At 40.2% G+C, this 11,925-nt stretch overlaps 1 pseudogene; it reads right to left on the bottom strand.

The window, feature by feature from the left end:
• Nucleotides 1–8,587: 8,587 nt before the first annotated feature.
• Nucleotides 8,588–11,612, bottom strand: LOC107987383 (circumsporozoite protein-like; annotated as a pseudogene).
• Between the last annotated feature and the right edge of the window lie 313 nt (nucleotides 11,613–11,925).

Below are 11,925 nucleotides of genomic sequence, written 5' to 3'. Positions count from 1 at the left end.
GGGAGGAAGGAAGAAATGGAGGGCGGGAGGAGGGAACAAAAAAGGAAAGAAAGCAAGAACGTGAGAAAGAAAGAAAGAATATGAGAAAAGAAGGAAGAAAAGGGAGGGAGAAAGGAAGGGAGGGATTAGGGAAGGAAGAATAAGGGAAAGACACAAAGAAGGAAAGAAGGAAGGAAGGAGAAAAAAAGAAAGAAAAAGAAAGGAAAAGAAAAAAGAAAAGAAAAGGAAGAGGAAAAGAAGAAAGGAAGGAGGAAGGCAAGGGAAGGGAAGAGAAGAGAAAGGAAGATGGAAAGAAAGAAGGAAGAACGCAAATATTAGAAATTCTGGGTTTGTTAGAGAATATGCCATACTGTTTTTTTTTTCACTTGAAAGGAAAGAGTATCTGCCATTGAAGATTGGATGTCTTGTTGGTGATATTGTTGTTCTTATCTTCCACATGATTACTGAGTTAGTGCCTAGTCTTTCCATTTCTAAGACAAAAGTGTTGATGTCGGCAAATATAATTTTGGATTTTTCCAGTTCACCTTTGATTTCTTTCCTGTTTTACCTCATGTATTTGGAGGTTCTGTTGTGAGCTGCATACCCTAATTAGTAGGATGATTACATCTTCTTGAGAATTGATTATTCTATTATCTATTATCTCTCATCTCTGATACTATTTCTTGTTCCGAACTCTGTTGTGTCTAATATCAATGTAGTCCTTCCACAGCCTTATTTTAGTGTTTCCATGATATGGCTTTCTCCATATCTTGATGATAACCTCTTTATATCTCTATATATTTGGAGCAAGATATAAAATTTAGACTTGATTTTTTAAAGATTTTTCAAGATGCGATTCTTATTTCTTTTTGTTCTATTTGACATTCTCTGAGTTTCCTATATTTGAAGTTTGATTTTCTGTCACTTCTTTTAGAATATTTTTGGCAGTTATTTTGAAAAATATTTCTTTTGCTCCATTATTTTTCCCTCTTTTCTTTTTGGGATTTCAATCATAACTAGAGTAGGTAATTTCATCTCAGTCTTATGCAGGTACTTTTTCTCAGGGTCTCAGGAATGTAGCCTTCTCACACTTCCGTTCTTTTCCTGGCTGTGTTGGTGAGCTCAGTGATATTCCTCCTTCACCTTCAAGAGCAGTTTTGTTTTGTTTTTCCTGTTTTCATACTCCCAGCATCAGGAGGATCCTAAGTGTGGCAGTTTTTGTTGCCTTCCCCTACATATTAAGTGGAATATCTTGCTCTATTAGGACTCTTATAACAAAATAACATAAACCGGGTGACTAAAAAACAACAGATATTTCTTTTTTCACATTTCTTGAGGCTGTAAGATCTCGGGTCAAGATGCTCACAAATTCAGTGTTGATGAGAGCCCATTTCATGGTTCATAGGTGGTGCCTGCTTTCTATGTCCTCACATAGTGGAAGGCACACAACAACTCCATTGAGCTTCTTTTATAAAGGCACTAATCCCATTCATAAGGGCTCGGCCCCCAAGACCTGGTCACCTCCCAAGTGTTCTGCTCTCCCTGATCTGTGTCATATACAGACTCTCTTGGATTCCTTACCAGTTGCTTGAGAGATCGCAGTGGGTTTGTGGGGAAAAAGTTTTCAAGATGATGGATCTTTCCCAACTTCTGCAGCTGTCAGCCGTCTCCCAATCTCACCAGCCCCACTTTGTCTTTAGGAATTTATTGATTATTCCAGCTTTACTTGTCATGGTGGTGCCTATTTGCGTCTGTTCTATGTAAGTGCATCCGTCCTCTTTCGCCTTGCAGGTGCTTGTTTTCCCTCACATTTTGACTCAGTTCTTGGCAACCTCGTTGCTATAAAAATAAAGTCATGACTTTGAAGTTAGTTTGGGTCTTTCATTGTTGTCAGGTTTGGAACCCTATTCCATCCCAGATCTCCAAAACCCAGACTTTTTGGGGGGTTGAAATTTTAGGGTTTCTCTTTGAATTGTAGTTTTATCTTCTTTCAGTTACCATTTGCATTTTCATAATGATTAATGAGACTAAGCTTTTTTGTGTAGTTGACTGTACCTTTGGATTTTTTCCCCAAATACCTTTTTATTTCTTCTTTTCTTTATGGTTTTAGAAAAGGTAGTTTACATAATTGCAGCTTGATTTTTTACTCAGTTAATGGCATGCTTAATGGAGAGAAAAAATATTAAATATATTTCCCTTTTTAATTACTGTGCTTTTTTCTTTTTTAAGGAAATGTTTCATTATGTTAAATTTCAGTGTTATTCTACTTAGCTATTCCTTAAATATTATAGTATTTAGGATTTCACATGTAAATTTGTAACATATCTTGAGTTTATTATGTATAGAGTAAGGCTATTTTCTCTTTTTTGTTTTTTAAGGTAAAAATCACATAATATAAAATTAACAACCACCATTTTAAAGCATACAATGCACTTGCTTTTAGCATATTCACAATGTTCCAGGGCAATTTCATCATGTCCCTTCCAAAAACCCATTATACATAAAGTTGTTACACCCTAATCTGCTTCCCTGAGCCCTAATGACCACTAATCTGATTTATATCCCAATTGATTTGCCAATTCCTAATGTTTCATGTGAATAAAATCAAGTAATATTTGTCCTTTTGTGCACTTAACAGAATGCTTTCAAATTTCACCAATATTATACCATATATAAGTACTTCATTCTTTGTTATAGCTGAAAATTGGGTGTCCATTTATGAGTCAACAAGCATATGGATTGTTTCCACTTTTTGACTGTATGAATATTACTGCTGTAAATATTCATGCACATGTTTATTTTTTGAGCACCTATGTTTTGTAAGATTAACAGCTGACTTAAGAGAAACAATGGAAGCAAGAGGCAGTAGAATAATATATTCAAAAGATGCAAAGGAAAAAAAACTCTCAGCCACGAATTCCTTATCCAGCAATTATTTTTCAAAAATGAAGATAACACAAAGACTTACCCAGATAAACAGAAATATTAACTGAAGTTGTTGCTGGCAGACCTACTATATAAAAAAATACTCTAAAATAAATTCCTAAGGCTAAAAGCAAGTTACAGAAGACAGTCACTTGAATCCACATTTTTTAAAAAGCACTGGTATAGGTAATATTGACATTATAAAAGACAGTAAAAATGCATTTTTTCTCTTTATCATAAATTGTTTATTAAATAACGTGTGTATAATGGCCGGGCACGATGGCTCACACCTGTAATCTCAGCACTTTGGGAGGCCAAGGCGGGCGTATTACAAGGCCAGGAGATCGAGACCATCCTGGCTAAGATGGTGAAACCCCGTTTGTACTAAAAATACAAAAAAATGAGCCGGCCGTGATGGCAGGCGCCTGTAGTCCCAGCTACTCGGGAGGCTGAAGCAGAAAAATGGCATGAAGCCGGGAGATGGAGCTTGCAGTGAGCAGAGATTGTGCCAGTGCACTCCAGCCTGGGTGACAGAGGGAGACTCCGTCTCAATGATAATAATAATAATATGTGCAGAATGTATTGCTGAGTATTTGACATGTAGAAATGGAACACGTCTATAACATATTTTCCAGTAACATCAAAAAGGAGGTAGTTGGAAGAAAAATGTATTGCGATAAGGTAATAACTCTAGATGGTAAAGTAATAATTACTAAAATGTATTGTTGGCTTTGTAACTTTAATAGATGTAATGTGTAAAGTGATAATACTTTAAAATGGAGGAAACAAAAGAGATTTATATAAGAATGTTGTTTCTATGTATTACTAAAAGTTTACTAGTGTAGATTGGAAGATGGTTTGAATAATTAATTTTCCATATACATATAGGGTAAACTTACAACAACAAAAATTCTCAAAAATATATAATAAAATAATTCATTAGTAATCTAAAGTTCCCTATTTTAGAAAATATTCTTTCATTGCAAAATAAAGCGATAAAGAAAAATATTTGAGAAATATATAAAACAAACGGTAAAATGGCAGACATAAATAGAATTATACCAATTATAATCTTAAATGTGAGCAGATTAAAATCCATTCCAGAAGCAGAGATTGTCAGACTGGATTAAAACAAGTGATCCCAATATACGCTGAGATGCAAGGATACTAATGGATTGAAAGTAAAAAGATGACAAAAAATATCATGCAAAGAGCAATCATAAGAACACTGAAATCATTATACTCATAACACACAATATAGACTATTAAAAATATGAATAGGATTTTAAAAGTTTATATTCTAGTGAAAAGGGGGACAACGCTTTAGGAAGACATAGCTATTACAATCATGTATGCACAGATAGGAGCTAAATTGTTTCCTCTATATAGATGCTGAAATTCTAACCACTGAATATGACCTCATTAGGAAATAGGTTCTTTGCAGCTGATCAAGTTAAGATACAATCAGATGAGCCTGAATTCAATATGACTGATGTCCTTGTGAAAAGAAGAAATTTGAGTAGAGGGAGACATACACACAGGGAGAGTACCATGTGATTATGAGGACAGAGATTAGCCAAGGAATGCCAAAGACTGCCACTAAACCACCAGAAGTGAGAAACAAGGCACAGAGCAGGCTTCCTCTCATAGCCCTTGAAGGGACCATCCCTGCTGACACCTCAATCTCAGACTTTTAGCTCCCAGGACTATAAGATTATAAGACTCTAAATGTATGTTGTTCAAGGCACCCAGTTTGTGTTACTTGGTTATGGCAGCCCTAGAAAACTAATACATGAACTAATAACAAAGCATAATAACATGAAGCAAAAATTGACAAAAGAGGAGCATCAGCAAAATGGCAGTGGAGAAAGCTGCAATCTTTCATTTCCCCACAGAAACATCACACAACTAAGAGAAACTGTCCGAATAAACTTCGCCAAAACTCTGGAAAATGGTCAAAAGATTACAACATCCAAGTGAAAGCAGACTCAAGAAAAAGACAACTGGAAAACTTTACGACATTTTTAACTTGCCTTTGCCCCAGCAAATTGGCAGTTCTGAAGTGTCAGAAGCCCACGTTCCCAGTGAGGAAGCCTGGTCCATGGTCCAAAGGAACAAGAGAAGATCTTAACCACAAATTATTATGTGTCTGTTCTGACTGGTCTGGGGGATACCTAAAGGACTCATGAAAGGCTTTTTTTTTTCTGTGTTGCTAGAATACAGAACATATAAGGAATGGACATTATTAAGAAACTCTGCAAGGAGACCTAACAAACCACAGATGCTTAGGGCAAAAATTAAAGTTTACACATATAGTAGATCACCTTCAGCACAGCAAGAAAAGTTGGAGAAGAGTATTTCAAAAACTAAGACATACAAAATCATTCACATACATGGGAGAGTCTACAAAGTCACATGTATTCATAGGTTAAGCCACATGCTGACAAATGTCATAAGAAGACACTACACTTTTACCTTGGCCGATCCCTCCCCTCAGTGCAAGCTCTGTGCAAGAGTGAACTTGAACTTCACTCAGTGCAAGAGTGAACACACACTTTGTGCCGGCTTTAAAGAACCCAGCACAAAGCCAGTCTGCATGGCCTAGAGACATATTTTGCTGGACAATGATTACTTGTTTTTCTTTTTGTTTTTCTTGTATTTGCCTGTTTGATTGGTTCCTGACATACCAGAAAATCACTGTGAAAACATTAGCTTAACATTTGTTAAGGAAACAAAAAGACTTCGGTGACCACACCTTATAAACCAAACAGTTTTGTAAATCACTTTGGAAAATTTCACTAAAAAAAAAAAAATCCTTCACAATATAATAAGTAAAGAAAATTTAAAACCACAAAACATTACTGTGTTTGTAGGGGGGGGTTCTGATTTACAGAGTAACCACATAGTAATTATAATTATTAGAATGTCCAGTTTTCAAAAACGTTACAAGGCATACAAAGAATGGGAAAGTGTGGCTCATTCAAAGGACCAAAATAAATTGACAGAAAATATCCCTAAGGAAACCCAGACATCAAACTTACCAGACAAAGACTTTAAAACAACTCTCTTCATTATACTCAAATGTCAAAAGGAAAACATAAAGAAATAAAGGAATCAGAAAAAATATTAAAAAGTAGGAATATCAGCAAAGAGATAACAGAAATTCTGGAGTGGAAAACTACAATGATAAAAATTTAAAAATCACCAGAGGGATTTAAGAGTATATTTGCACACACAGAAGAAGCCATGAACTTGAAGAGAAGAAAATGGAAAATACTGACTCTCAGAAACAGAAAGAATAAAAAATAAACAATGAGCAGAGACTAATGAATCTGTGGGACATCATCAAATAGACCAACATTCATATTCTAGAAGGATAAATTATGTTGTTAAAAAGTTTACCATTCTTTCTTTTCACCTTTCTTCCTTCCTCCTTCCCCCTCCTCCTTTTTACTTTTCTTCCTCTTCCTTTCTCTTCTTCTTTCTCTCCTTCATTATCCCTTTCACTGTTTCTCTTTCTCCCTTTCTCCTTTTTCTTTTCTTTCAATTTTCTCAATTACTAAGAGATGTTTAAGTACCCTTACCATGTTAGTAGATATGGTTATTTCTCCCTTTAGTTCTCTTTTGAGATTTATAGTCACTCAAATAAAGAGATAACCCAAACATAAGCGTCACAAACAGGCTTTCATACCATTCTTAATTTGGTCCTGTAATTCTTCATTGCTGTATTAACTTTCTGATGCTTTTAAGGATGTTTTATAACAAATTGTGTAGCTTTTTCCAATGGAATGTTTATTCTGAATTATCTAATTCATATTGTAAGTATAGAGGGAGTTTAATATAAAATTATTAAACTAATATTTGTGAAAGAATGTATTTGTGCATTTAACAAATATGTTAATCCTCAGACTGTTATTGGGCAGCTGAGCATACAGGAATAAAAATAACACAATTTTTATGTGTACAATATTTATGGAATACGTTACTGGACCCAATAAATAATTTAGTTAATAACATGACAAAGAACAGAAATTGTATACACTATAGAGCATAGTAATGGAATAATGAATGATTAAAATTATTAATATTAGGTAGAAAATGAAGGGTATCTTTGAGAGCAGAACTCAAGGAAGCAAGCAATTCGCCTTATGAGGAAAGAGTTACCTGTGGATAAAGGAGAAACTGAAAAACTTACAAGTCAAGACTTTTTGAGCAAAAAAAAAAAATACGACTATTAGTCACCAATTCAGTACAGTGAAAAAAATGTTGAAGAGATATCTTGGAAGTAAACCATGTTGTGGAAGAGCATGTAGGGTTTTGATAATCATGGGATGATTCTGAATTAATTTTAAATGCGATAGGAATATATGAGATAATTTCACCAGAGAATAATATGATTGTGTTTGCATTTCAAAGGGGTGTATCTGGTGCACTGTGTAGAATAAATAGGTTATGTGAGCAAATAAATTGGGAGGCTACTCTAATCCAGCGAAAAAAGGTAGTGACTTAGGTGAGAATGCTGTCAGGATGAGTGGTAGTAGTGGTGAGAAGTCGTTAGGCCATGGATGTATTTCATAGGACTGGCCAAGAGAACTGCAGCTAAATTGGAGTGTAGGGAGTGAAATAGAGAACTCAAAGATGACTCTCAGCAATGGAAGGTGACAGCTGTCACTGAAGCATGCTGATGCCTCTTATTAAGAGAGTTACTTGGGAATGGCAAGATCAAAATTTCTCACTTTCAAATTTATGAAAAATATTGTTTTCAGAACGAGTGACTTTGGGATCAGAAAGCCACCATTCTAATTGATGGTTCCACGACTGCACGGGCTCACACTCGCAAGAGCAAAAGTAAATCATCACAAAGGTGCTTCTTGATAATTCTAGAGAATGGAGAATTACTGTAACATCTTTCTGATTTTAGGAGAGGTAGCAGTTCCCTTTTTAGCCTAAACGCCATTTTTTTTTTTTTACAGCTCAGCCAAGAGACTCCATTATAATTTTCAAATGTGTGTAACTTAAATTCTCATATGAAATACCACTATGCTTAAATTAGTCAAAACATTTTCCCCATCTACAACTCTATCTTGTCATTGCAATCATTTTCACAAAAGTGACTGCAGCTCACAGAACCTAAAAGGAGAAAATCCAGGGTAGGTTATCTGATCTAGTTAGTTTCAAAGACAGGATCTACAGATTATTTAATATGAAATAGGTCACCTGAAATGAAGTGTTTACTGAAAACAGCTTGGATCAGCCCAGTTTTCTACCACTGAACCATGCATTTGGTTTAAAAAACACAACAACTCTGGGGAATATCAGCTGCTTCCAACTGTGTTGAAGGTGTTAAAGAAAAGAGCATAAAATTGAAAATGATCATCTGAGGCCTTTATAGTCTCTGCTCAAGAGACTAGAGTTTTCCATTCTTAACGAAACACCCAAATATCTTAATAATTGGGTAAAATCTAAATATCAGAGATAATTTTATCTTGAAGATTGTTAAATTATAATGGTGATTCACTACCTTGCCATGTCTCTGAGTCAAAAATTAGGTCTTTGTTTAGGAATCAATCATAATCTGCAATTTGGAAATAGGAAGATTTTAGAAGACTCAGACATTGACTTTCTTGTGTGCAAAAAAAAAGACATATTGAGATAAGACAAGTCTTTCCTTGCAAGGATACCTCTAATGCTCATACACCACCTCCCCTAACATTAATATAGCTTCCAGGTCACTAACCAGTGTCAGAGAGCAGCCCATGCAACTAGAAATTCAAAAGATGTCGAACATAGGGTCAAGCTTAGAATAAGACGTCTTAGCTAATTAAGTATGCTTTTTTCCCGAAAATCATATTAACAAAATCTTGGATATGTCAGAGAATGCATTCTAAGTTCACTCAACCTAGGAGGGAGAAACATAATTTTAAATTAAGAGCTGAAGCATTCTTGTCCTAACAGAAAGCAAGGAAAACGAAATATCACACCACAGGAGGGATTTCACAAATTTGTGTCAACATCAAAACCTTAAAATAGGCAAGGAGAATGCAGATTCACAATGAACTCTTGTACTTGTTTTGTTCAGAGAAGAGATGGTTCTGAGAGAATGACAGTGAACTAACCCCAGCTGGTTTAGTTGGTGCTTTCAACTGCTGCTTCTGATCAACTCCTTTAGCTAGAATAAATTGATGAGGATTTTGGCATGTGGTATTAGAGATGGTTATTAATTTTCTCCTCTTATTTGCATTGTTCAATATAGTAAATACTAGCTGTATATGGCTATTTCAATTCAAATTAATTACAATGAAATATACTTAAATATTGAATTTTTTAGTCACTCTTGGTTCATTATTGAATATCTTCAGCTAAGATTTCCCAACTAAAGACACTAAGAGCTGGCTTAGTTAACTGGTCGTCCACAAATATTGAAGCTGTTGTTAACTCCTGATATATTCTCTGCAAAGAGAATACTCATGAGCCTCCTCCTGAAATCAGCAGCCTAGAGATAGTTTTATAAACGGGATACAAGTTGGAAATCTATATACTCTTTAAGTGTTTGAAATATTAGCTTCCCAGGGAAGAAAATCAAATTCATAAGATATGTTAGGACAATTTAACTCAAGATGTTCAAAACTGAAATGACATATTCTACAACATGTGATAAAACCACCCCCTAACAACTTAAAGCAAAACAGGGATGGACCTTAAAGACCTGCCTTTTCCTCATCCCCCAGCCAGTTTTCACATCTTGCATTTTATTTTGAAAGGTCCCTATCCCCCTGGTCTCTTGTTTCTAGACTTGGCACATATTTAAGTTTGTTACCTCTCTCTACTGACTTTTCTCTCTTCAAACAGTATCTATGCCTGCCAAATGTGAACATACAAACAACAAATCAGAATGTGCCATTCTGATTTAAACTGCTTATTAGTTAATACCCTCAAGATAACATCTGGGTTCTTAGCTTCAATGAGTCAAGCCTACTTACATCTTTTTTTGTCTTTGGCTGCACATTTCCTGTCACATCCACTCCAGCAATGCCAAGCTGTGCCGGCCTTCTACCCCATCTCCATTATTTCGCCCCCCGCCGCCGCGGCTTTTTGCCCCCCCGCCGCCGCGGATTTTTCCCGCCCCGTCGCGGCGGCTTTCTCCCCCCACCGCGCCTCGGCTTTTTGTACGCTGCGGCTTTTTGCCCCCTCAACGCTAGAGCTTTTTGACCACCGCAGGTTTTTGACTCTTCACCGCTGCGAATTTTGCCGCCCTGGCTTTTTGCCCGCCAGGGCTTTGTCCCCCCCCCCCGCCGCCGCGGCTTTATCACCGCCTTGGCTTTTTCCACCCTGCCCCCGCGGCTTTTTGCCCGCCGCGGCTTTCTGCCACCCACCCGCCGCCGCGGCTTTTTGCCCCCACCCCGCCTCGGCTTTTTGCCCGCTGCGGCTTTCTGCCCTAACCCGCCGCCGCGGCTTTTTGCCCCTCCGCCGCCGCGGCTTTTTGCCCCCACCCTGCCTCGGCTTTTTGCCCGCCTCGGCTTTTTGCCCCCCGCCGCGGCCGCGGCTTTTTGCCCGACCAGGCTTTTTGCCCCACCGCCGACACAGCTTTTTGCACCCTCGCCGCCGTGGCTTTTTGCCGCCGCGGCTTTCTGCCGCCGCGGCTTTCTGCCCCCCCGCCGCCACCGCCGCTGCTTTTTGCCCCACCGCCGCCGTGGCTTTTTGCCCGCCGCGGCTTTTTACCCGCCACGGCGTTTTACCCGCCGCGGCTTTTTGCCCCCCGCTGTCACGGCTTTTTGCCCCCCCGCCGCAGCGACTTTTTCCTCGCCGCGGCTTTTTGCCGCCGCCGCTGTTGCCGCCGCTTTTTGCGCCCGCGGCTTTTTGCCGCTGTTGCCGCCGCCTTTTGCCCCCGCCGCAGCGGCTTTTTGTCCCCGCCGCCGCGGCTTTTTGCTACCGCGACTTTTTGCCCCGGTCGCCGCCGCTTTTTGCCACCGCGACTTTTTGCCCTCGCCGCCGAGGATTTTTGTCCCCGCCGCCGCGGCTCTGAGGGCGGGAGCGGCAGGCTCGGCTGCCAGCTCTACTGGCGTCCTGGCAAGGGCAGCGCCCAGGGGTGCTCCAGGTCCAGCTCTCCTGGCTTAGGGATTCCTTGCCTAGGTGCCGGCGCCCCGGGCTCCTTGCCTAGGCCCCTGTGGCCTGCATAGAGCGGCGCTGCCTGCGGAGGCGATGGGGGAGAAGAAGGATGGTGGTGGTGGGGGTGATGCGGCGGCCACGGAGGGTGGCACAGGGGCTGCGGCCAGCCGGGCGCTGCAGCAGTGCGGGCAGCTCCAGAAGCTCATCGTCATCTTCATTGGCAGCCTGTGCGGGCTGTGCACCAAGTGCGCTGTGTCCAGTGACCTCACCCAGCAGGAGATACAGACCCTGGAGGTAAGGGGTTCGGGGACCCGGGCTGGGCTCCAGGAGCAGCCCGGACACCTCCTTCGGGGCCCCAGTTCACTCCTGGCCGAGTTGCACCCTTGAGCCCACGTCACCCCCTTGGAGGCTTCCCCTCCCTCCTGCACTCGCTGATGCGGCAGCCAGAGGACCCGGGACCAGCCCTCACCTTGGGCAGGATTTGTGGAGCGGGTGTGTGGTGGGAACTGGGATGGAGGCTCCAGGGTCCCGTGGGGGTGGGGGTGGGCTGCGCGAGGACATCCCCTTACCCCCTGAATTTCCATCTGGTCCAGCCCTCTCATCTTGTAGGTGAGGAAACCGAAGGCCTGAGGGAGAAATGACTTGCCAGGAACCCCTGTTAAGGAAAATTAACAAAGTGTGGTTATTAAAGAAGAACTGAGTTGGGAGTCAGACCTGGAGGCCCGCACCCGTGGTTAAGACATTATACCACCTTGAGTCTGGCCTGTTGACTGAGGGTGAGCCACTCCATCCTCATGTGATTGTGGGGTCTTAACCTCAAAGGGTTTCCTGCAGGAAGAAGCAAATGGGTTTGCTTTCCTAGCTCTGTCCAGTACGTTAGGGACCCTGAGGACTGAAGGGATTCTTGGAGAGCCA

Source organism: Homo sapiens (assembly GCF_000001405.40).
Source record: "Homo sapiens chromosome 16 unlocalized genomic scaffold, GRCh38.p14 Primary Assembly HSCHR16_RANDOM_CTG1".
Taxonomy (NCBI): Eukaryota; Metazoa; Chordata; class Mammalia; order Primates; family Hominidae; genus Homo; species Homo sapiens.
This window is presented reverse-complemented; position numbering and strand designations above follow the sequence as displayed.